The 26,740-nt window shown below is 41.4% G+C and overlaps 1 protein-coding gene across 30 annotated transcripts in view, besides 2 other annotated features; it reads left to right on the top strand.

The window, feature by feature from the left end:
* Positions 1-26,740, top strand: part of ENOX1 (ecto-NOX disulfide-thiol exchanger 1) — a 573,843-nt gene that overhangs the window by 464,974 nt on the left and 82,129 nt on the right. For 27 of the 30 annotated variants that reach the window (NM_001347965.2, NM_001347963.2, NM_001347971.2 and 24 more), the window contains one exon: positions 23,469-23,653. In NM_001347965.2, coding sequence (NP_001334894.1) covers positions 23,469-23,653 — 185 coding nt within the window. Of the gene's footprint in view, positions 1-3,033; positions 3,320-12,324; positions 12,679-13,919; positions 17,992-23,468; positions 23,654-26,740 lie in introns of those variants that run through there. The other 3 variants (XR_007063686.1, XM_047430428.1, XM_047430429.1) reach the window with 3 other exon arrangements.
* Positions 4,816-4,895: an enhancer, noted in NCBI's record as "active region_7669". NCBI's record gives its function as "activates an Ori minimal core promoter by ATAC-STARR-seq in GM12878 lymphoblastoid cells {active_cell/tissue: GM12878}" and the evidence as "EXISTENCE:reporter gene assay evidence [ECO:0000049][PMID:35858748]".
* Positions 18,493-18,722: an enhancer, noted in NCBI's record as "active region_7668". NCBI's record gives its function as "activates an Ori minimal core promoter by ATAC-STARR-seq in GM12878 lymphoblastoid cells {active_cell/tissue: GM12878}" and the evidence as "EXISTENCE:reporter gene assay evidence [ECO:0000049][PMID:35858748]".

Here is a 26,740-nt window from a genome sequence, read left to right as displayed (position 1 = left end):
AAGATGCTGGAGAATTAGACTTCTTTTCCCATAAATGTTCTTTCACCTAATCTGTAATTAAAAGGCTGGCCCCATTTGGTACCAAGCTAGGGGTGTCACTCCTTAGGTTGTACAAAGAAGAGAAACTTAGAGAGAACCTTGCTTTGTGTGCTCTGTCTAATGGGAGCTGCTGATTTAAAACGCTCTCATTGAATTATATATAAATCCATTGGTATTGTAAAAACAGGCAAGGGAAAAGCTCATTCAAAACATGAGACACCAAGGGAGACTGCTTGTCTGATTGGAAGGGTGTTGTCCGAAGGACCTAGGAAGAACCATAATTGCCATCATTCCCAAAAAAGAAAATTACAGAGATGGTATAGATTTGATCTGTCTCCTCATGTGTATAAGTGAATAAAACATACACCTGTTAGAGACTTTTTAACAGAAAGATTGCAGGTGACCAGGAATCGAGGATCTTTACTAATTTATTAAGAAACCAAAATCAAGATTCTAAAAGGATCAGGTCACCAAGACTGCAAAGTGGTCAGGATGCTCTGTTTCTCCAGGGCTGTAGAAGAGAATGTAGGGGTGCGAGTGATGGTCATAAGAAAAAGCTCCTGCCTACAGGCATATAGAGAAAGGGCTCTAATTTCTTTAAAGCAGTGGTTCTCAAAAGTGTGGTTCTCAGTCCAGTAGCACCAGCATCATCTAGGAACTTATTAGAAATGTAAGTTAGCAGGCCCCACCCAAGACCTGCTGAATCAAAAACGTCTAGTGGCTACAGGGTGTGGGGAAGTGAAGTCCAGCAATCTGTGATTTAAGCCCTATAGGAAATTCTGATGCATGCCAAAGTTTGAGAACCACTGCCTTAGAAACTTTCCCTTTCACCCTCAAATTCATTCATTTTAATCTTTCAGGTGCTTAACATACAAGTAGGCACCATGCCACTATTTTCTGAAGCCATATATCCCTTGTCTGAAAAATGAACCCAGCACTTATGTGTCAATGATGTATGTCTCCTGCTAAGCCCAGATCAGATTCCTCAGGACTGCTTTACTCTTGGGTTTGTTTATTTGAGGAGACCACCTTCCTCACAGGATTTCTATTCTACAAACCTTCACATAGCAAAAGAAGGGGGCAAGGATTTGTGTGAATTTCTTAAGTTCAACAAGATCTTCAAATAAAGAAATAAACTTTTTTTTTGTCAAAAGCGCTTTCATCCTTTGTGAAGCTTCTGGATGAGAGGCAAGTTGACATGAAACTTGGATTCTTAATATCCTGACAAGGTAGGTGTAGGAGAAAAGAACTGCATCAGTCAGAAATTCTCATTTGAACCTGTGGCTTTTTGTTTTGTCTTGGTGATGTTTCTTTTTAAATAACTTGTCAATTTCCCAAGTAAGAATTGTGTATAATTTCATAGTCTGCTTAGGATAGGACCAGAATAATGATGACTCTGAATAGTATGCTCACTGAGGTCTTGCGGCACGTACATGCTTATAGGATCGGGGCCCGGCCTCTGCTGCAGAAGCATCGACGGAGATGTGATCCCCCGACACCTCTCTCGGTTTATTCCCCAGGCATCTGATGAGAACGTGAAGTAGAGCCTGAACTTTTAAAAAAAACTTTCACCAGTCTTGTTACTTGGTCAGCAGAATTAATGAGCAAAGTGCAGGGCATGTTGTATGCCAAGTTCTGAGGGAAGAGATGAAAGAACCGGAGTTCAAATGCCAGGCCCCGAGCAGTTCAAAGTCTTTTCGTGCTTTTCAAAACGAGATGGACCAGAGAATGTGGCATGTGGTTTCTGAAGAAAGCACAGGACTGATTAAAGGGAAAGGAAGGCAACTAACCTTTTTTATTCCACGGGGCCCTGAAGATCTGGCCCAAAGGCAGGCAGTTGTTTTTCTTTCAGCCCTGCATATTTGGGGACACAGCCTGACAGCAAGAATTCCCATCTGGTCTTTTGTTCAAACCTCAGACAAATCCCTGCTAACTGTTGCTTGAAGCAGGAGGATGGAGGCCATAGCCCGAGGGAAACACCTTCCAGCGGTATCTTCTTGGGTGACACATCCCTTGTTTTTAGGTACACATTTGCATCTGCCAGTCACCTACATAGGAGCAGTCCTCTCAAAATGTAGCACTCTAATTCACTAACAGGGGAATTGCCAGTGCTGTAATGGAAGTGAAATTCTCCATGCTGTAAGGAATCCCCTGCCAATTTCCTCTCTGCTTAAACAGTGGGATTTTGCTTCAGACCTCCTGGGTAGTAGCTGACCCAGGAATTCTTGGAAATTCCAGAAGAGAATATCCTTCAGTTGTCACCTGCCTGTGCCGGGAGGAGGTGCTGAGGCTGCACCCACTGCAGGGCGCTCTGTCTGTGGTCCCCCAGGGCCAGCTTTGCTTGTCATCTCCATACTAAGACAAAAAGTACCCTGTAATGGGTTTTATTTTGGGGGGCAGGGAAGAGATGGAAATAATTGACTTGTTTGGTTTTTAGGAAAGGCACAATTTATTGTGTAAGGACTTATATGATACCTTGGGTTTACTTTTTAAAAAATAATCAAAATGTTTCAATATATCTCTGCTTTTTGGTTATGAAGAATATTTCATTGTACTTTTCTTTTTACCATATATAATAATTTGCAATATGTCTTTGGCTATAATTCTGCAGTATCTACAATAGAATTCTGGGTGGGGTGTTCACTCTTCTTGATCAGTTGAATCTTAAAGGGGAAAAGGAGTTCACTGGAGCAAAACTAAGATGCTGATAAAAATGAAAATCAATTTTGTTAATAAATTCAAAAATAATGACAGATTTATTGAAGCATTCATTCTAGAAGATCGGCATCCTGCTCTGAAGCCTGTGAAGATAATTTTTGATAAAAATTCAAATTTATTGTTGTTTAGTCTGCCTCCTACTGAAATGAAGCCAGACTTTAAAATCCAGATCTGTTCTTCCTTTTTCTCTTTCTCTCTCTCTTCCTCCCTCCCTCTCTCTCCCTCTCTCCTTCTCCCTTACCCTTTTCCACTCCCTTCCTCCCTCTCTCCCTCCAGGTTGACTCTGTGGGGCGGGATAGCGTTCGCAAGAAATAAAAAGGAGAAAGGAAAGAGGAAGGCTGTCCTAGATTGTAAGGCCTCAGATGGCAAAACCCGATACGTTTTAGTATTGTGAGAGTTAATAAGTCAATGCATGCAAGGCACTTCTGACTTTACTTACAGTGTTGAGCATCTAGTAAGTACTCAATAAATGTTAACTCTGCTTGTTATCTTAGTCATCCTCCAACACGTGGCCCTGGGCCTTTCCCCAAGTACGTAATCAATAAAAGTCTGTGGACTTCAATTCATATTCCCCTTCTTCTGATCTTAATGTTTTCGATGCCTTTGTCCCAGAAGTTGATAGGAGGATGATAACCCTGAGAACATTTGCTCTAATTAAATTGAAATGGCAAGTATTAAAGAGGCATGTTCAAACAAAATGTTCAGAACTTTATACGTACAAAATTCAGTGTCACATGGCGAACAGGCCATGGCCCAGAGAGCTTTAACCCAGCACTGTTTTGATTATCTACATTTTGTATGTCCAAGGTGCTGTGGACCCAGGGCACACAGAGTTAGTTAGATACAGGGTACCCAGTTCTCTAGGGTGTAAGACTCATTTGAAAAAAGTGTTTTCAGTTAAAAATATTAGGGATGTCCTAAAGCTGGTAAATTAAATTTATTATAAACCAAAATGAACATCACTACATAGTGTATGTACCTCACCCAATATTTGATGAGTGTACTTTGAACACAAATGTTAGAAGAGTAAAACTAAAAAGTCCCTTGCTCAGTAGACAATCATTATGCCTTTCCATAATACACAAACAAATGTTTTTGGATTTTAACTGCATTTCATTTAAACTCTGAGCTCCTTATAGGAGCAGACACTCTAAATTATGAAGAGTGTTTTTCTGAGCTGTCAATTTTTCATGAAAATTCACCATAACATAGGTACAAAGGAATTTTTTTTTTTTTTGAGACGGAGTCTTGCTCTGTCACCCAGGCTGGAGTGCAGTGGCATGATCTTGGCTCACTGCGAGCTCTGCCTCCCGGGTTCACGCCATTCTCCTGCCTCAGCCTCCCGAGTAGCTAGGACTACAGGCACCCGCCACCACGCCTGGCTAATTTTTTGTATTTTTAGTAGAGACGGGGTTTCACCGTGTTAGCCAGGATGGTCTCGATCTCCTGACTTAGTGAGCCGCTCACCTCGGCCTCCCAAAGTGTTGGGATTACAGGCATGAGCCACCACGCCTGGCCCGGAATTTTTTTTTTTTAATTTCACTAAGAATTCAAACAAGGACTTTCCAAATCTTTCAGCCACTAAATCAAATTAGGAACTCATAATTAGGTTTGGTTGGAACTAGCAGTATCAGCCTATCTGAATAGTTATATATGTAGCTGGAAGATTTATGTTAAAAAAAAAATAAGTAATAAAAATAATAATAATAGGGCTCTCTGACCATCCCATTGATTTCTTTGAATAGCAGGACAACCTATTTTTTCTGATTAAGTATTTTCTGGGTGGTAGTACTTCTGAAAGATCCTTAAAAATGCCCATCAGGAAGATTATAATCAGGCACAAGCTTAAGAAGAGGCTCACTGTTACCCCATCACCAGCCAGGCACAGAAGAAGGAGAGGGTTACTAAATACCAGACCAGGGTGCAGCAGCTGACTGAAGGGGCCAACTGCAAGGGGCTCTGTCATTCACACTGGTAGAAACTTCCTTTTAGGAAGCACTGAATGTAACTGAAAGCAGGCTCACCCGAGATTGGCTCAGAACTTGGCAGAGGGACAAGAGAATTCAGACACTGAAAGTGAGATGGCTCAGTCTGAGGCCACATGCCAGGATCTGAGCTCCGGGCGCCAGCAGACCCCAAGGGCAGGGGTGTCTGTGTTGAGTGGAAGCATAGAAGGATAAGCTGTTTTCACATGTAATGACAGCCGAGGGCACCATCTCCTGAAAGAGAAATAGACCAGTGGGGTGTGTCCATCACTGACCACTGAATTAAAGACAAGCATTTTCTCTTCTGGGAACCCAAGGGGGCCAAACAAGGAAATGTGATGAATCAGAACTAATGTGGCTTAAAGATGATAAAAGAAATCTTGCAAGGTGGGCTGAGTAGCCTGCTTTCTTCCTAAACTCTAAACAGAGTTTCATTTGCAAAGGAGCCAAGGCTTTCCTGTTTCTTTCCTTTTTTTTTTTTTCTTTTAATCTTGCTAATCTTGCCCAAGGAATTCAAATAAATATTTATTTTGGGTGGATTTTTAAGTTCCCTAATTTCATGTGCAGTTACAATTCCCTTTCCGTAATGGATATGCTTCTGAAAAGTGTAGAATTTTTTTTTTTTTTGTAAATTGCTTCACCTTTTAAATGCAGGAAAACAGATGCTATTTAAATTGATCCTGTAGCAGAAGATTCCATTTCAATGGAAGCACTCCTTCTGCCCAACCAGACTGTGTTTGTTTTGTAAATTCACACTTGGAGCCTAAACTGTCTTTAAGCTTAGCCCCTTTATAATCCTATTTTTATGTAGCACCTATCAATGCCATGATTCTTGACATCTCTCTCATATGTGCACAAACTTTCCATAATCTGGTATTTTATGTAAGATTAATCTGTGTTGCTGACATTGGTGTCTACAGGACCAAGGACTTTCCCTAATACTCTTAACTACTCAACTGTGCCACACCTCGGTGAAATTCAGCTGAGGCCTAGCTGAAGTTCTTAAACAATCCATACCTGTTTGATCCTAGCTTAGACCTGGGTGGGGTCTCCACAAAGTTTCCTGCATGACAGCCCAGCATGTTCCCAGCTCCTGTCAGGCCCTGGCTTCTTGCTTAGTGCTATGAGTCCCTTGAGCCTGGTGGAGGGCTTGAGCTGATGGGCAGTTGGCAGGGAGAGGAGGAGAATGAGGACATGAGCAACCAATCTTCACAAAGGGAGAGCCACTGACGCCTTGACCTGGGAAAGGTTAAGACGCATGACCAGGGAGTAGTACAGGGTCACTGCACCGCCGCCTGTGTGCAGCCCAAAGTGCCCTGATGCTTATTGACTGCCAGGAACACCATTATCTACATTACAGTTTATTATGTGTTCTGGGCATTTCATTCCGGTAAGGTTTGATGCAGGATCATTACATAGGAGAGTGGATTTAATCCTGTTTCTGTAGCAGGCTTGAAGGACACTGAGGGAATATTTATGTAATAAGATGCAAAGTTGCTATGGAAAGTACTATAGCAACCTAACGTCTTAGCAGAGCCAAGCAGCCACTTGTAACAGCAATCCAAATTTACATTTATTTTAGTGTCATTTTATCGACACTCTTAGTATCTCATTCTGACAGGATGTTAAAATATGTTTTCAGCTTGCGTTTGAGCAAAATTAACACAGTGTTGTTGGAATTTAAGTGCGGTTTGCACAACTTCTAGAAAAAATCAGGATATTTTTTGAAGGAGTTTAGATGACAGAATCTGGGCAACTTTGTAAGCTTTTTATTGTTGTTGTTCTTTCCTAAACACAGGAGAGAATTCTTCAGTAGAATTTATTCCTGATTTTCCGTTTTCATTTATAAGCAATACTCAGGAATCTCTGATTTTGAAAAACGGATTACCCTTTACAACATCGATGAATTTTGTCAAATGCTCACCTGTGATTCTAGCAGATGCTCATAGAAAACACTTTCAGTAGGTCACCTCATTGCGCTCTAGCAGCATGTAACATTTTAAAAAATGAAAGTTGTTTTTTGAATAAAAATAATACCTGGTCATTTTTGAAAACCTAACAACTAAGAATAATGAATAAAGAAGAAAACAAAATTGTGTTATAACATTACAGAAGAATGTTTTGGCTTCTAATTTTTTTCTTTTGCACAGTTAACTACATAAGTATTTTTCCGTGTATTTTTTAAGGCTCAGGAATAAAATTCTACATGATTTTGGTTTCAGACAAGAGTCCTTGTGTAACAAGCAAGCCTTTGTTAAAAGTTTTCTTTTTATATATTAATGGAATAGAAAATAGAGAACAAATAAGTTTGTATTCTTCCTGGATCATAGGCTCTTTCCTGTGGACCTTTGAGAGATGAAGCTAAAATCTTTGAGGTGGTCAGAGTAGATTCCTGAGGTTATTAAAAGCATGGTAACTGGGCCAGACCTTCCAAAGGCATCTTTTAGGTCCCTTGAATGTGAGTATGGCAGAGAAGCTATATATATGTAGGCCAGTTGGTAGTGGAAAAATAGTATCTATTGATTTTCTTCTCTACCTCTCCATCTGAAATCTTGAAGTGTGACTGTAACATTGTTAAAGTAGGACACTGGCCAAAAGAATCAGTACTAGGCCACATTAAAACATACACTGTTACCAGCCTCTTAGCACAGTGATGTGCTGTTGATGAACATCATTGTCCTAATTCTCCTCTGCTTTTATACTGTATTGTTCATCAAAACACAGTAGGTGACATAAAGCTATTATACCTTGACTCCTAACACTGTTGCACATGAGCTTCGTTAATCGAAGACTTGAAGATGCTAGGGATACTGCATGAACACAGAAAATGAAGACAGGATGATGTCTTGTAGAATTCTAGTAACCGTAGGTAGTTAAGAGCCACATAACTAATTTAAAAAGTAAGTACTTCCTTCCCTTTCTTGGAAATTCTACTTGCCATTATATGATACTTAGAAGCCCTGGAAATTGAAGTTTATAGGAAATTATTATTATAGTAAGCTCTCCCACATCTAAATGGCTTAGAGACCCTTCTCTTTCACTTGACTGAATGCTCTTGATATCAAAGAGGGAGCAAGAGCTCAGCAACTCTTCTCCCCAGTTCCAGGACACAATGTGTGAAGCCTTCTAGGAAGTGGCTAGAGAAAGAAAATTTTATTTTAGACTCCCATCACTAGCAGAGAAGTAGGAAGAACATTTCTGGAGCAAAAGTTACAAGACAGAGTCTATTAATTGTAGCATTTCCGGCAGGGCATTGCAGGGTCTTTAATGAGCCCCCTTTAAGTTCTAGAGCTGCTGTGTCCCAAAGGCCCTTGCTTTCTACTTGGGGCATGCTGGTCATTGCAGCTCAAAGCAGTTACCTAAATTATCAGTTCTCAGAATTAATTTAGAAACATCTAAACATTGAACACTAGGGTATTGATTAATTAATGTATATCCATGAGCAGTCTTGAAAGAAACCATGGTTTAGACTATATAATGGAATGAAAGAAAGTTCTCAATATGTTGTGAAGTGATAAAAGCAGTTACAAACCAGCATGGATAATTCCAATTGTGTGTGTATGTGTTATATTCACAATTTATGTTAGGGGAAAATCTGTGAGGATATAGGTCAAAATATTCAGACTGATTATCACCAGATGGTGTAATTACAAGTGATTTTTTTTCTGTGCATTTCAAAAATGTCAATATATGCATGTATTATTTAAATAATTAAAACTACAATAAATATTAATTTATAAATTACCTAGGAGAATCTATGAAAAAATCCATGTTGATTGAGGAATACTCCCTAGACATTTTCAGTCATTCTGGAAAGTCAAGAATAGTAAGGAATAGTAACTAGTATCAGATAATGATAGTTTATTGAATTGCCTTCTTTTGCTTTAAATTAGGGAATTTCCACATTTAACTCACCATAATATGCTTACCTTCCCAGACCACATAATCTTATAATTTCTTATTCTAAGAGCTAATCATATTGGTATAAATATTAAATAATGGATCCAAGAAATAATTCAAGTTCTAAACCAGGCAGAAATGTTGAGTTCTTACCCACAGAGAGATTGGCAATGATGAGAAGTTATGTTATTTACCCAAGATCGTAAGTGGAAAGCCTAGAGCTCAATACTAGCTTTCTCCTTTTCAGGTTAATGACCCTGTTATGGCACCAATGAATTTTATGGGAAAAGGACTCCAGAATCTCTTTCAAATGCCTTCAGTGATACCATAAGAGTCAGTAACCAAATAAAATCAACGAAGGATTTTGAGTGCCTGCAGTGTACATGGTGCCATAATGCCTTTTAGAGGCAAAGGTAGCCTGGAGATGCTTATTACCTTAAAATGTTAATCCAGACAAAGCCGACTGGGGCTTCTGCTTGGTCTTCCCGTCATTTTCTGTATTTTCCCACTACCTAGAAGGAGATTTGCTTCAATATAGGCAACGCACCCAGCAAACTCTTTTTAAGCCCATCCCAACAGAAATGCCACCCTTAAAAATTATTCTGGAAATTGGTACCACCCATTTGCTAATTGAGTGACATTTATTTCCTGAAAGCAGAGTCTGCTGTATGGCTTTAGACAAGAAAAAGAAGAAAAGAAAATGCTTTGAAGAGGTGAAGTGCATAGGGATGTTCACTGCTGTGTTATGTGTTTCCTTTGGTAACCATACACACTGTCACAACCCATGTTTTCCATTTCATAAGTCCCCAAAAAGATAAAGAGAAAAATGAAGACGTTCCTCAAACCTCAGGCACATGCTTGATGGTTGATCTGAAATGATCTGAGCTACAATATCAGCCCTTTGATTTCCCATCTCATCCCATGTTTTCTTTGCACCCCCAGGGTCTGGGAGAGCCTACCTGAGGATCACCAGTTTATTGACTCACCATCTAATTTCAAGACTTATTGAAGTGCCTCTCCCTGTTTCTCTATTCCCGAGGCTTTTCTTTATGAGATGTGCCTCCAATATAGCTTTAAAATAAGAGTCTGAGGGACCTCATCTACAGTAATATCAATCTTCTTGAGATTCACAGACTCAGGGAAATTCTGATCTTGGAAGTAATATGTCTTCTCCCTTCCCCCAATGTCCTAAATTAATGAGAAAAATGAATTTTGGTACCCCCAAATAATGATCAGGTGAGCTGCTGAATAAATACAAGTTTATATTTGATACTTGTGATTTTTTTGTGATTACAAGTTTTCAGGCACAACTTAATCTACAACATATATTTAGAAGATATTTTGGAAGTACCATGAGAGATTTTATTTTTCTTGTAGTGATTTACCAGTCAGTTGTTTATGAAATGTCTCCACATGCAATACTAGACTTTTCTAGTGTAGTTTATCTACCGAGCCTCCTAAAGCCATCCATTTCTCTACCCTTAATCCTTTGCCTCCACGAATTGTCTTAAACAATGTCATAATACAAAGCAGTGATAAAATTAAAACAACAAATATTCAGTAAATTCTCACAATGTGTGTGGGACCATATCCTTTGTCTTCTTTACAGTGCCAGATTAAGGGGAAAGAATAGCTAACAAAGTCTTGAAAGACTGAGACACTGACTTGGATCTGAAAGGGTTGCTTCTCTCCTCTGAAAAATCCTCGTAGCATAACATCAGTTCGGCTTTTCTTGGAATAGTGTCAGATCACAGGTCCTCACAGTCTCTGCCCACTGTGCCCTCCGAAGTCATAGCCAAAAACTAGTAGATAAACTCTAACATAAAGAAGTGTGAGAGCATAAACTTGAACATAAAGAATGCCCAGCCCACTACATTGTACATGGTAGGGGGGCAAGATTTTGTTAAATGAATGGATAGGAAATTAAAACTAGGAAGAACTAATTTTTAATCTGTTGGGGGATATTTTTTTCATTTTGAAGAAAAAAAAAAAACCCTATTACCTATTTAATCCTCACAGTACTGACTACATTTTTTGGATAAGGACCCTGAGGTCTCTTGGAGGTTTAGTTTCTTGCCCTAAGCCTCATAGCTGGTATCTGGCTTCAGAGCCCCTTCTCTTTCTCTAGCACTCCTGTGCCTCTCTCCTCTATATAATCCACGTCCACTCGACTCTTTGAGGTTGGCAGGGGTAGATATGTGGGATGCAGAGCACTATGTTATGTCGAGTGTGTCTCTCAGGGTGACTGTGCCTCAGACACACCCAGTAGTCCCCAAAGTATCACCTGTGTGTGGTGCCCCCTCCCCTCTGTGGAATTCTGCTTCCATCATTATATATCAGACACTCTGTATGTTACTCTTTTTGGTAGGAAGAAGGTGATGTTCTTTCAGGTCATTAAAATGTGGGGGACTATGGCAAGCAGAAGGATGGGGCTAAGAGGAAGATGAGTAAATGCTTTTTAAACAGCTCTACCTTTTTTTCTAATTGAGAAACAGAGCTGTTTGGGCAAGTTTATGAGGTGACCTTGATTGAATTAAAGAGGTAATGACTGAAGCTTTTTTCTGTAGAACTAGGTTGCAATTTTTGCAAATGATAAACTATATGTTGATTTAATTTTCTCTTTCTTTTTTCTTTCTTTCTTTTCTTTCTTTCTTAGTAATTGAAAGTCATTGGGTTCTTGGACTTTGAAATAGGAAATAAAATTTAAAATGGACTTTTTGACCCTTCTACGTAACACTTAGGCTCCTAAGGAATATTGTAATTGATGCTGGATCATCAGTGTCATGTTAACAAAGCACTTTAGATGAAACTACCCATAGTCCCTTCCCTCTCATGTTCAATAAAAAGCTAGTAACAAGACAGCTGCCTTCTCAGAGGAATTCTTTTAACCTTTCAGAAACAAAATATTTTATGCTAATTTCTGCTTAATTGGAAGGAAGTCATTTTTAAAAAAATCATTGAATATGGGTTTGAAGTCTGTTCCATCGCTGACCTCTTTAATTCAATCAAGGTCACCTCATAAACTTGCCCAAACAGCTCTGTTTCTCAATTAGAAAAAAAGGTAGAGCTGTTTAAAAAGCATTTAGTGTTTGATTAATAGTGCTTAACTGGCACCTCAGCACTGGCAGAGGCTTTTTTTTTTTTTTTTTTTTTTTTTTTGAGATGGAATCTCGCTCTGTCACCAGGGTAGAGTGCAATGGCGTGATCTCGGCTCATTGCAACCTCTCCCGGGTTCAAGCGATTCTCCTGCCTCAGCCTCCCAAGCAGCTAGGACTACAGGTGTGTGCCACCACGCCTGGCTAATTTTTTGTATTTTTAGTAGAGACGGGGTCTCACTGTATTAGCCAGGATGGTCTCGATCTCCTGACCTCATGATATGCCCACCTCAGCCTCCCAAAGTGCTGGGATTACAGGCGTGAGCCACCACGCCCAGTTGCAGAGGATTTTTAAGGAGGCTCTGGTAAGAATAAAACATTGCTACCTGAAAAACTATACTCACCAGAAACGCAAAACAAATTTTAATGAACAAAGCAAAAACTGTTTTTTTGTGGGGATGTGAGAAAGGTTATCATGCTCAATATATAGAGGGTTTAAATGTCTGAACAACTCTTTCCCAGGGAAAAATTGCTGTAATTTATCCATCCAGACAGTTTATAAAATACATGCATTTTCCCTGCCCAAGGACTCCAAGACTAATGCTGAGTTTGTCAAAGCAAGATTTTGTGGCACTCGAACTCTGGGGATAAAAAGAAGTGATGATGTGTCCAGTTGAAGAATGTGAACTGAAGCCATCTGAATCACTGAAATATTGAGAATTCCGAAAATAAGTCCTTGGCTTCCTTCTGCGTTTCCTCTCCACTGTCGGGCCTTACTAAGCACTGCCAAGCTCACTATGATACTCTCTTTGGAAGAGAGGCTCATCTGGGTGGTAAGAGTGTTAGAATGGCTCTGAGAAAGGGACCTCTATGAGTGAGAACAAGTGTTGTTGGCAGGGGGAGTTTAGAGTCAGTGAGTACAGTAAAGAAGTAACTTTGAGCCTGGGTACAGTGACTCACACCTGTAATCCCAGCACTTTGGGAGGCCGAGGTAGGCGGATCATTTGAGGTCAAGAGTTCCAGACCAGCCTGGCCAGCATAGTGAAACCCTGTCTCTACTAAAAATACAAAAATTAGCCAGGTGTGGTGGCACACACCTGTAATCCCAGCTAGATGGGAGGCTGAGGCAGGAGAATCGTGTAAGCCCGGGAGGCAGAGGTTGCAGCGAGCCAAGGTCACACCACTGCACTCCAGCCTGGGTGACAGCGAGACTCTGGAAAAAAAAAAAAAAAAAAAGTAACTTTGAGCAGATGAGGTCAGAGGGCCCTTGAAGTACCTTGGTTTTATTTCTGGCATGGCTTGGCAAATAATATCCCTTCACCAAGCCTCAGCTTTCTCAGCAATGACATGAGGCTCATCCTGAGAGTTCCTCAATAAGACTGTGAGAAATAAACAATTAAGGGATTCTGTGGCATTTTGCAAATACCAGGCACTGTGGCAATGTGGAGAGTTGATGCTGGTGTAGAGCAGAAGGTGTGAATGTGTGGTTCACAGCCCCGTCTGCACATGAGAATCACCTGGGAAACTTTATACACATACCAATGGCCGCAGGTTAATGCCCAGGCATCGGTGTTATTAAAACAGTCCCCAGGTGATTCGCTGCACAAAGGATTGAAAACCACTGGCCTGTAATGTGAGGATGATGGCTGTCATATAGTGCTTAACTGGCACCTCAGCACTTGCAAAGGCTTTTTAAGGAGGCACTGGTAAGAATAAAATATTGCTACCTGAAAAATTATACTCACCAGAAATGCAAAACAAATCATTTTAATGAACAAAGCAGAAACTTTTTTTGTGAGGATGTGAGAAAGGTTACCTCTTTTCCCACCTATTAGGTGGGAAAGAAGGACAAAACGGGTTGAGGTGAGGTAAAGTAATGTGGGAATGAGAAGAAAACAAAAATGGAGTAAAGTATAAAAATCTGTAGTGGACAGGAAGTGACTGACATAGGCAATGATAAAGGAGCAAAGAAAGGAGAAGTGAGAGGGAGGTAGTTTAAGTGGAGCGTGTGAGACCCAGGTGGAGAAGTCCCCTCACAGGTCTGTGTCGGGCACATTTGGAGTATCCTCTGGTTCACTGGAAAAAAGGGCGGCTTGAAAAGGGAGGGCAAAGTGTGGAGGGTGGCCTGATATGAGTGGTGATGCAAGCCAAGGACAGAGTCTCTGCCTTTCTCTACCTCTAGGAGAATAGACAGGAACTGTTTGCTCATCCGTCAGCAGTGAGAGAGGGAAGCAGGCATGCCTGGCCACTCGCCAAGGAGAAAAGCCTCTGCGAATCTAGAGACTGGTGTGGTAAGCATGTGTACATGGGAGGGGCCTCCTCTCCCACAGTGAAAAGGCTGTTCCCGGGGCCCGGTCAAGGGCAATTAGTTCCAGAGGTTCAGCCTGGCCTCTCCTGGGTGCAAGCCACAAGCCTGCCATAGCAGAAACTTTCTCCAGACATATGGCTGCAAAGAAAAGTAATGCACAACAACATCGAGCAGTTGAGGACAATGTGTTTTGGAGACACTGCCTGTAGGATTTACGCAAGCATTCAGTCACAGTGTCATTCCTGGAGAGGCAGGAGGTAGCATTCAGCAAGGAGCAGGCCGATAGGTTAATGGAATGTGAGAAGACATGGCAGAGGCAGAGAAGCCCAGAAGGCTGTGTTGGGTTGTAAAAGCAGGAGAGAAGGTCCTTTCAGCTGTTGGAAAAGGCTGAAAGAAAGCAAATATGAAAAACTAATGAAAGAAATCTAAGACTAGAAGAAAGTCATGAAGAAAGCATTAGGAAGTGGGGACCTGGTCCCTAAAGGCCAGGGAGGTGGCTCTAAAATGTTGGCATGCATCAGAATCACCCTAGAAACTTGCTGAAAGGCACATCCCTGGGCCCCATTCCAGAATCTCAGATTCGTAACATCTGGGATGAGTCCCAGGTTTCTCATTTAAGAGATACCAAAGTGGTACAGATACCTCAAGATGCCAGCTACCTGTTCATACTGGGTCCTCCCACCTTGGTTATACATTTAGAGAGGATGCAGATACTTTCTATCCTATTGCCAGACACAAGTAAGTGTTCATAAGTCAATTTCAATGTTGGTAATGAGAACAGTGGGGAGGAGGAGGCTCAGAGACAGCCCAAGCAGAGTCATTGCCCAAGCATAAAAGTGAAGTCTTGGTGCCCACTTACTAGTCTGGATAGTTAGGGTTTACCTAAGGCGGAAGTAACTTTCAAAAAAAGTTTTCTGTTCAACCCATTATTGCAAGTATTTGGCACTATAAAATAAAAACTTTACAAAAAAAGATGCTACTCCTTGCAAAGAGCAATGCATAGAACTGAGAAGATATACTTTAGGTTTGAGCTGGCCATCATTTCACATTTCATAGTGTGGATGTGTTTTATATGGTAGAAGCACCAATTCAAATACTAATATAACTGTGTGTGTGCGTGTGTGTGTTTCTATGTAGAGGGTAGAGCAGGAGAGGGGAAATACACTTCTTAAGGGGAAAGTTTCTTGATGAAAATTAGAAATGACCACTTGTTAAAAAGGAAGGACATTTGTAAGATGGGAGGAAAAAGAGATCACTGCTTTTATACTGTAGATTGGTGAGAAAATGAGAGGAGTTGTTTTGGAGGGAAGGATTGCTGTTTAAAGTTTCTGTCTTTGGCCAAGACCAACTACTGTCAGTTAGGATGAAGTCACACAGAGCCAAGCCCATGGTGGAGTACTACACCCAAGGGAGGTGCACTGTCTGCAGGGGAGGGGGTACAATTCCTGAAAGCCAGTGTCATTTTATTGTCTAGCTTGGCTTAGCTAAGCCTGACTTTCCTAAAAAAGAATCTTTAAAGCCTTTAGAAGATTTTTTTTAAATGGCCCTATAATCTTGGAAATCAAAATAGGGACTGAAAGTGAAAAAGAAAACTAAAATCGAATTAAAAGAAAAGGAAGAGTGGGGAAAAGTGCCCCCTCCTGAGATGCTCCTGCCTGGCCTTGGGGCTCAGTAGGAAGCAGCCTGCTCGCCTCTCCATAGCCATGGCACATCCTCCTGGAGATCGCCGAATCTTTTGGTAAAGCAGTGTCCACTGTGCAGCAGTCCCACTCTGCTTTCCTTCAGCTTTTCAATGTGTGAGCTCAACCACTGCCTTCCATAAAGAGCCTCCCCCAGCTCTTATGTTCCAGCCAGAAGCCTTCTCTCCCTTATTTGACTCCCACTACACAGTGTGAGGATGGCCCCTCCTGGAGCCCTTCTAACCAGTTTCTACCAGGTTCCATATCTGTAGCTCTTCCTGCGGCTGGGCTGGGAGCTGCGCAGGCCAGGCTGGGCAGGGGCTGAGAGCTCTGCTTCCCTGCCCTGTCCCCGGCTTGGCTTAGAGTAGGGAGCTCAGCTCATGCTTGCAGCGTTCACTTCTGATGTGTTTCCCGGAGGACTCTAAAGGCATCCTCACCTGACAGAGCATCCTTCAACAGTGTTTTAAATGACAGACTTATCCTGCTTTTGCAAGAAGTGAACATGTCTCTTTCCTTTGCTTATTTTCCTCTGAGGAAAATGGGGATGGTTTTGGGTCGGAGCAGAGGATAGTAATGTAAATGGAAAAGTGATGAGGCATGATGTGAAGTCTCCATAGTGGCAGCAGCCCAGCAGCACCTCCTAGTTCTGCTGCTGGTGCAGAGTACTTCCTCAGGAAGAGCTCTCTGGAGGAAGGAGCAGAGAATTTTTTTTTCCTGAGTCACCTGCTGCCCATTGTGCCTCCAGACTCACATTTAAGCCATCATCGTAACAGGATCTAGCTTACCCTGCACTCCCGAAATTACCCTTATTCCGCTGGCCTCACACAAAGATGGAAATAGACACTGCATTGTGCTTCTGTTTAGCTTTCCCTAATAATAGCTAATGTGCAGATTCGAATACACACTGCACATATGAAATGTTATGTCAATGCTAAGTTGTAATAATAATAATCCTGCAAAAATGTAGCAGAAGAAATTTCCGTGAGCAATTTGAGGAAGATTGATCAGTGGTGATACAGGTATTATTGAAAAGCAGATCAATTGTACTTTGTTGGTACCATAAGAGGCTCTCCAGCAGGAGACTGGCTGTTGGCAGATGTCATCCTAGGATACTTTCCAGCTCTGTGCCTGGCCACTGGGAGGCACTGATGGCAACAGCAGCCACTGAGAATGAGGCTACCAATGATGAAGGACCCCAAGCCTCTGTTAATCTTCTGACATGGTACTGGTCCTTGTCTTTGGCCTTCATTAGCCCAAGCAAAGTAGACTCAGGGGACAGAGTTCATGGGAGGTCAGCATAACGCAGAGGAGTTTCTGTCACCTTTATTCTAACTGAAGGCACAGACACCTTAAAAATCAAACATAGGTGAGTTCAGATGGATGGGGTGAATAGTCTCATACTGGATCTTTGGGAATCCTGAGATCAGCATGGGTCTATGGACAAAACTCTCTCAATAAAGCATTATTAGCAACTCAGGCTCTTGAGCTCTGGGATTAGTGGGTATCAGTGTGGCCGTTTGAGAGGAGAGGGACACAGGGCAGAAAGTAGGATCCCTAAGTGGTTCCAGCCAGGCCTCAAGATTTCCTGAAGAGTGAGTTTAACTTCTCCATAAATCATCCCCAAGTTTGTCCTGCAGAAAATACCTGCATGTTTATTTTAAAACAGGATCATCCTCTCTGCTTTCATAGCAGAGTCTCTCTCCAGCAGAACACTCCCCAGATAGAGCCAGAAATTGAATGTTTTACTTCTGTTAGGAGCAAACTAGCCACTACAGTAGGGTCCCTGGTTTACTCCTTTCTCTGGGATGGGCGGCACTTACATGGAGCTAAGCTAGCCTGGTGGCATTACATGGAGGAATATAGTCCTAGAGCCACACCTTTTACCTCCAACCAGCAACCTCTGTCTCCCATAAACTCACTTCCATCATCTGGAAAATAGAAATAATAATCATATTGACTGTATCATGTTTTCATGATGGTGAAAGGATACTGTGTAAAGAATATGCTTACCTCAGTGCCTGGCACATAAAAATCATTAGCTGTCACTACCACTGTTGCTATTCCCATTACTGCTACTGTTATTTGAAGAAAGCAGAATAGTGACTGTGCCTTTTGCCCAAATCTTCCATAGGAGATAGCCAGGGCACGGGGCAAGCTGAGCTCATGGGACCTGGGCACAGGGATGCAACAGGGCTGCCTTCCCAGGTGCAGAACATGGAGTCGGGGCTCATACAAAAGGAGATCAAGGAATAAAACCAGAATGACAAGCCAAGCATGTGGTTCTTTCAGAAGCATTTCTCCAAACAAGCCAACCACAACCCCAGTTTAGGAATCGGGATAGAATGAGCAGCGGTCTGAGCAGTGGCTCTCAAAGTGTGGTCTCTGCACCAGCAGCATCAGCACCACCTGGGGGACTTGGAAGAATGCTAATTCTTGGGCTTCCTCCCAGACAAACTGAACTGGAAACTGAGGGTAGGGCCCAGAAAAGTGTGTTTTAATATGCCCGCCAGGAGCTTGTAATGCAGGCCAATGTTTGGAGAACACTGGGTTAGAGTAACACCAGCTGCTGTATAAAGATGGCCTAACCAAAAAAAAAAGTGTTACTTTTTGGGCACACAACAGTCCAAGGCAGATATTCTGGGCCTGTGGGCACCTTTCCTCCATGTGGTGACTCAGAGACCCAAGCCTATTCCAGCAGCAGGCAGAGACTGAGGGACTGTGCAGAAGGCATCCTCACTCCCCCTCACACTCCATTGATGAGACTGCTCACATGGCACCCTCTAGGGCAGTCACCTCTCAGGAGCAACACTGCTCTATACAAAGAGAAGCATGAGTTTGAGTACACAGCGTGATAATGTCTCTGCCACAGAATAGCTTCTAAAGGCCTCAAGGCACCTCACAAGAAGATTCAGAATGCAGAGAAGCAGATAGAAGCTGGAGAGAGTCCCTGTCACTGGGCCATAACTACAGCTCCCTTTCCTAGTGGAGCAGGAGGCAGGATCGTGGCTGAGGAGGCAGCCGTTGAAGGCACACAGATATTGTGGTGACATTTGCCAGGCCAGCCTGCCTCTGCCCTCCTGTGTTCAGGGGCTATCGGTACAACTGCCTTCCTGGGTAGCAGCCAATGAAATTCTTGAAAAAGACTTTCTTTGCATGTGGGAAGGAAATCTACAGTTCAGCAGCGTCCTTCCAGCATTTCAGGAGGACATCTGGCAAAGTGGAGGGGGAATGTTAAACACAGAGTTCCCCAAACACACAAAGACTAAGAGTTCTGGAGAAACACAGATATTGTTAGAAACGATATGTTAAAATGTTTTATTATTTAGTTACATCTTGCCTGAGCATGAAAAAGATATTAACAGACTGTCAGCTTACTGGGACATAACCCAAAACAACTTACATTTTTCATATATTGCTAACTATTTTTCTGAGGCTGGCTCAGGCTGGTAAAAGAGATTTCAAGGCTTTCTCCAGATTATTTACTTAAAGAAGTTAAGCATGGCATTATCTGTTCCCATGGAAACACAGTAAGACAGGAGACAGAAGAGGAGGTCACTTTGACCATAATTAATATAAAGAATAATGGTTTATATAGAATCTAGTAAAGAATATAACAAGATGCCGCAATACCTTTAAGCCTTTTCTTCAGCAGTGCCGTTCAACCTTTGGATTGATTTTCATACATTAGTGTCACTTTGGTCATTTTTTAGTCTAGTGCTAAGTTTTGAAGTATAACAATCTTGCCTAGCAAAATTTTTCCAATTTTATTATTTCATTTTTGATCCAATCAGAAAATTCCAGTATTCAGAATTTTTCTAAATTACTGAGTAACTAGAAATGGGTGACTGTGCTGGCCTTAAGCTTCTTGTGAATGCTACAGCTCCTCACCATGTTTTCTTAATAAATACATAAATGGGTGGCTGGTGAATTAATTGATGGTAATCCAGAGGCACCACTAGATTCAGCAGTGCCTTTAAAATCACCAACAAAATATTTAATCACATTCAGTCCGGTTGACATTTAAGGTGTCTAATTCTATTCTTTTTTTATTATCGGAAATTGGTAATCCACATGGGGTGTCTCTTACATATTCCATTTATTGGCACTCGGTGCACTCCTTAGGAATTCCTACCGAAAGATGCACACTGTACTTTTTTTTTTTTTAATCCTTATACTTATTTGGATAGTGGATTCATTGTGCAGTCTCATAAGGTAAATTTTATTATGGAAGCTTGATGACACATTTTTTCAAAACTCTTTAATTTAGTACAGTATTCCAGAAAGAAAGAAAGAGAAGAGAGAGAAATAAAAAGTTTCCCTTTCCAATTTCTGAATTTTTAATATACTGAGAAGTTATATTAAGTCAGAAATTATTAGGATTTTTTTTCTGTTAGCGCTCTGGCCCAAGAAACATAATATAGCCTCTTCCAGGCAGCCTTGTCTGAGGAATAGATTCAGGGCTGCAGTATGACACTGAGTGGTGTTTACAAACAGGTGGCCTGAAGCTAAGTGGAGTCAATATACAATTTCTCACCCTTTAGAAGATAACTACTTGCTGCCACATGAGTAACGAAAATTTTTTTGTAAAAACCAAGCTTGAAATCATTTAATCAGGAATGTAAATCAGTTATGTGCCCCAATTATAAAAATGTTGATGGAATTTGCTATGGTATTGATTTTTTTTTTTTTTTTGGTGGGGGAATTACAGCTGTTGTGGGTTTTTTTAATATGATGATATCACATTCCTATTCCGGGAATGCAAACAATATTATATACTGCTTGGCAGGCACTGTAGTCACTTGGCTTAGCCAAGAATAAGAACTCTCAGCAGTACCATTCCATAGGTTTGTAAGAGATCCCCTAAAATAATGGATGGTACACTTTCCTATATGTATTTATGTTCAGATAATTTATTTAAATAATGCTGTTGGCACATGCTTTATAGCTGCTTGCATTTTGCTATACAGATTTCAGCATATCTTGCAGACTATGCAATTCATTTGGAAAATGTAATTTCCATCCCTGCGTACTAATCGATTTCTTCACAAACACCTGCTATCAGTTATGATAATAAAAATGCCACTCTGAATTGAAAAAGGGCCAAATAGAGCTTCCTAAGGAAATGACTTAAGTGTCTTTGAATGCTACTAAATGTAGTAATGTGCCTATGCAGTGCCAACACTTTCTTCATCATTTGCATTTTCTGTGATTTTGCCCTATTACAACATCCCTCTCACAAATGAATCCTCATAACCATTTCCTTATGGCTTGGTAAACGGAGCTGTCAGGAGGTGGTATCTCAGGGTGTGGACAAGATCTGAAGCTGGGCTGCACAATGTTAAAAAGCACTGGCTCATGCTGCGGGTTATGTGCTGGATAATTTCTGATTTTATGAGTAGGTCTCTGAAAACTGTAAAAGTGGCTGCTCCTTGGTTTTGCACACACATACACCAAATGAAATCTCCTTTATTCATTCTCTTCAGCCTCCAGTTCATTCCATGCACCATTGCCAAACTAATGTTCCTAAATCCCAATTTCATCATGTCCTTCCACTACTCCAAGCGCTGTCAGTGGTTCTCAATTGGCCACTCCATTGAACCTAACCTTCCCCATCTTCTCCCATCACCTGACGTGGATTCCCTTTCTCTCACTGCTTCCAGGCAAACACTTGGCTTTTGGTCGAGTTTCTCTCCTTCTTGCCCCAAGTGTTCTACCTTTGATTTTCATATCTGGGCTTTTGCTTATGCTCTGGCTTCTGACTGAGAGACATCCTTTCCAAGTTCTTGGGGTTTTCATCTTCCAAAGCCCTCTTTTATTCCTTCAGTCTGAATTTTTATTTCTCTTCTCTGAACTCCTATAGGATGCATTTTTTTGTCATGCATCTCGACTCATTTATTTATTCATTTATTCATTCAACCAACATTTATTGAGTGTCTGCTGTATTCCAGACATCACACTATCCTTTCTTCCTTTGAAAGCAATAGTTTCTTTTTAAATGTGTCAGTTTCTACTAGATTAAGCTCTTTGAGAGAAGAGATGTATTCTGTCTCCTCTTTTTGTGGTCTGAGATGCCCTCACGGACCTGAGCACAGTAAATATGAAGTAAATGCGTGTTAAGTAATTGATCCCTACTGGCTTGAGGTAGGGAAATTTCTGGGTAATTGCATGTTCTGTCTGATTAGTAGTTCAGTGTGTACTACACAGAGATTATCATTTTGCAAGATGGAGTACTGTAAAACACTCAACTATAAAACTATTATTAACATAATTTGACATTTGATATTTGAGGAGAGAATTCACTGTGGTCTCAGAGAACCTCAGTAAAGCTTTATCACCATGGAACTGTAATGTGCAGGTAGAACACTCAGGAGGCGACCTTGATTTGGTCCTCTGACACGGGGAGCGGGGGCTGGAAACGCGCATGCACTGACGACCTGGTGTGCAGTGGGCTCCACACCGTGCCCTTATCTACTGGAAGTTACATGTTTGAAGTTTCTGGTAACAAGCGTTTCAAATTTTCTTTCACTTTTCTCTTGCTTACACAAGTGGGGAATGGCTTTTCTGTGAGGGGGAAGATTAAAGGGAGAGTGGTGGGAGAGTTGGTGGGGGAATGTGAGACTGGTTTTGAACAGCCTGGTAAGAACTAAACACATGGACCGATGGTAATCGAGAGCAGAGACTCTGGAGCCTGCAGCCTGGGTGTGAAGGCTTTCTGCTACTTACTTTGTGGGATTGGATGAGTTACATAACTTCTCTGTGCCACATTTTTCTCATCTGTAAAGATGAGCATAAGACCAGCACCGGCATCACAGGCTTGGTGGGGGTATGAAGTGAGTGAGTTCATACAAAGCTCTTGATCCAGTGCTTTATGAGTGCTCAGCAGGCTATGTTGATTTTCGGAGAGACCCCTAAGCAATAAGGTAGAAACTAGGGAAAGGGATTTCCCTACCCTCAATCTTTGTTTGGTACCATTTGTTTCTTTTTCAGTTTCGGCTATTTCTGAAGCCTTGAGATGTGTGAGACCCTGAGTTAACTGTCTTGGTTTCTTAATAAGATAGACATATGAATGAAGTCTGAATCTAAATGTGGAGAATTTGGGGTTTCAGGGAGAGGTATTAGAGTAACCACTCAGCCTTGTAGAGGAAAAGAGTTTTAATCTGTTGGTGAAACAGATGGAACTAGCTTCCCATTCTGATAGGAGTTGGAGGAAAACAATCTGTGCAATTTGTCCCAGCAGTAGAGCAGGAAGGAGTGGTGTGCATATAATTTCCTCTCTCCCCTGGGATGCTGCCGCATGTCTCAACCTGTGGAACTGCTGATTATTTGAAAGCAAGCAGCCCTCCAAGTAGCTAAGCAATCCCGTAGAAAGGGGGAAGACAATATTTAGTAGATATGATTGTTGCCTGGAATTCTAAATGTTGTCACCACCTAGCACCACATACCAATGTCTGTGAGGGTGTCTAGCATTGAGGGAGAGGTCAAGGGATGAGAATTTGGGAGGAATTAATCCTGTGCCCATAAGAAACATTCACATGTAAGACAGGACAAACAGAATAGATAAAAGTTCCGAGAGAAGTGATGCATACCGACTACAAAAGAGAGGCCCAGGGAGTGGCATTTTGCTTTTATTTCTGAGCTGGTACAAACATTAAGAACTTGGGTGACAGACTCCCTTTCCCACAGAAGGCCTCCTCAAGCTAAGCAAGAAGGTAGCTCACCTGAACTCGTTCTGTTTGTCCCTCAGCCCTGGCTGCCCAGGCCTACGCTCTGAAAGAGGAGAATGACAGTCTCCGCTGGCAGCTGGATGCCTACAGGAATGAGGTGGAGCTGCTGAAACAAGAAAAAGAACAGCTTTTCCGAACAGAAGAAAACCTCACCAAGGACCAGCAACTGCAGTTTCTGCAGCAAACCATGCAAGGCATGCAGCAGGTACCTGGCCCAGATTTTTTTTTTTTTTTTGAGAGAAAGAGATATGTGTATTAAATGAAAATGGAAAGGCAGCCGTGTGCTGGAAAGGGTGAAGGAGAAGAAATGACAACCAAAAAGCTATGTTACTAGGACAGAAAAGTGCTAATGACTGTTTGTGGAAGGGTAGAATCTGGAGAAAAGCCAAGCCAATAAAATATGTTGAAGAAATCACCCTGGAGGTAGGAAATAAAGGAAAATGATTTGGATTTAGGAGATTGAAAGGCTGCATGTGAAATATAGCCCCATGGCAAATACCTAGCAGATCCCTGCATGATACAAGCATTTTGTAATCTTAGAACTTTTAACTTCAAAGCACGACAACTGATTTTACAAAAGCAGTTTGTTTGTCTGTCTTCAAGGTTAGTGTAAATGTAAATTATATTGTTTCCACTTTTTCTGTATTACACTTAGGATCTAGTCAGGTTCTTTGAGCACATTACGTGTTTAAGAAGTGTTTGTTGATGGAATACATGAAGCATCAGAGTTTTGGGGGATAAATAACTTTAGAAACAGGGCAATAGCTGTGTTTTTGTTGAAGAGTGCCAGACCTCATCCTGGCATACTGAATTTAAAGATGTATATTTATGGCAATTGTTAAAAAGGAAATGAAAGTTGAGGGCTTTGGAGTAGGGAAAAGGAACAGGTACTGTGGGATATAAAATGTCGACAGGAGGGGAAAATCTGACTGTTGGCAGTGAGGGAATAGAGTCAAAGATTCACAGTCAGATTTGTATCTGAAAACGTCAATTGGTACCTGATATTCTTAAGGTGTTTGGGCCTTTGAGTTACCTTAGAATAACAGAGCATATATTATCATCATGGGTATTTTTAAATTATCCCTCTGAATATACAAATCCAATCAATATTTTCTGAAAAAAAAAAGATTGTTTTTATTTAAACAAGGGAAATATAAGTAGAATGATGGAAAGTTAAAATATATAGAGTCAATTTTTTTTAATTCCCCCATCCATATTGACTGCTCTGTAACATCCAGAGCATGGATTGCCTACAGAAGTATCTTAGTGATTAGAGGTAACTACTACAGATACATCAACCTAACAGGGAAAAATAATTGAGAGGGAGAGTATAAAAAAGAATCACGGATTGGGAAGTGAACAAGTTAATAACCAACTCGTACAAATTATATCTTAAACATCTTCTGCCATTTTAAAGCAATTTTTGAGTCTTGGCTTAGAGTCCTAACTGGTTGATGTTCACAGTGTGTGTTAGACTAATCAGTGAGATTCAGAGGTCAGAGCCAGCCAGGAAAATGTCATTACAGTTATTGCTCAAGTCTCTGTACTTGAAAATCGATGTAACAGCTGCTGTGTGAGACTTCTGGGGTTGTCCATGTGCCCCAACATTGGGTGTTTGTTGGCACCCTCGCCAAGATGAGAGGCCGTCGATTTCCCCAAAGACCATGACGCCAGACCTAGCCCAAAAGCCACTATGTCACACTTTACACAACTCTCCCTTTCTCCCTCTAGAAAAGATTATCCCAGTTGCTTTAAAAGTGTATAAAGTCTTTTAGGTTATTGCAAATTCAAACCTAAAAGAAGTCAGAGGAGGCGAGGGTGAGCTGCTCAGTCAGGGTTGCAGAAGCACTGAGGAGCCACGTGCCTGGTCCACAAAGGAGCAGTGTTCCAAATCACCACCTGAGCCATCCTCCTGATGGAGGGATTCAGTTAAGGGAGCTTCTCATAACTTTTCAGAATCTCCTTGTCAGTAGGAAATGTACTTTATATAGCTAAAAATGTAGTTGAGACAGAAATGTATTGTCTCACAGTTCTGAAGGCTACAAGTCCAAGATCTAGGGTCCAAAAGCAGGGGTGGTTCCTTCTGAGGCTGTAAGGAAGAGTCTGACTCCTGCCTCTCTCCCAGATTCTGGAGGTTGGCTGGAAATCTTTGGCCTTCCTTGACTTGTGGAAACATCACCCTGCTCTCTGCCTTCATCATCCCTTGTCATTCTCCGTGTGTGTGTGTCCAAATTTCTGCTTTTTATAAATACACTGTTCATGTAGGATTAGGGGTCCACTCTGCTCCAGGATGACCTCATCTTAATTACTTATATCTGCAAAGACTTATTTCCAGATAAGGTCACATTCTGTGGTAGTAGGGGCTAGGACTTCAACATTTGGATTTGGGGCTGGGGGGCAGGGCACAATTCAATCCATAACAGACACGTAGTAGACAGTCAAAATATCTGTGTCAAATGAGGGAATGAATAGACAAAGACCTGGAGGCAAGCCTAGCATGGTGCCTATGGGAGCTCTGGGCTGTGTGGGATCCTGGATCATGAAGAGCAAGACAGGGAGCGGGAGAGCCAAGGCCTGAGAGGTGTGCCTCTTTAACCTACAGAAAGCACTGGGTCCCCGGTGGCTGCTATGATGTTAATGTTTACTGGTTGTTAGGCGGTGTATGGCTATCTCTGTGGCAGAACATCTTTTACAGAGTTTTAAAATATAAGTGCTTTTTAAAGTCTTGTTTCTATCATGATCTACCTTGTATGAATAAATGACCACAATTTGCTAATTTGAATCCCACCACAAAGAATTAGCCTGACTTTAAAACCTGCCTTCAATCTCCACACTATCCACTGTATAAATCAGAAAATCATGGTTTCACATGAAAGATGACAGAGAGAGGAGGGGTCAGCCTCCCATATGTCACCATTTCCAGTCTATGTTTGGGAAATTATTTCTGTAACAAACAACAAAAAAAGAAAGAGCCTTAATGACCTTAGGACTAGCAGACAGCTTTTGGAATCGCCTTCAGTTTAGCCAAAAATTTTCTAACCTTTCTTTCTTTAACCCCTTAAGGATATGTTCACTGACATCACACAGTTTTGCATGTGTTCATGAAGAAAACACTATGGGCAGGGTTCCTAACATGGAAAAACTCTTGGGTGACTTTGTCTGGAAGTTTCCGAGTTTACCCCTGCACCATGTGAGTCACAATTTAATAATATGAAAGGTTTCATACAAAAGAGAATAAGAGCTTGTATCCATGGTAACACGGTAGCCTTTACCTGATCTTAAACTGGCAGTG

The sequence above is a fragment of the Homo sapiens genome, chromosome 13 (assembly GCF_000001405.40).
Source record: "Homo sapiens chromosome 13, GRCh38.p14 Primary Assembly".
In the NCBI taxonomy this organism is placed as follows: Eukaryota; Metazoa; Chordata; class Mammalia; order Primates; family Hominidae; genus Homo; species Homo sapiens.
Note: the sequence above shows the minus strand (reverse complement) of the source record. Positions and strands in the feature narration are given on the sequence as shown.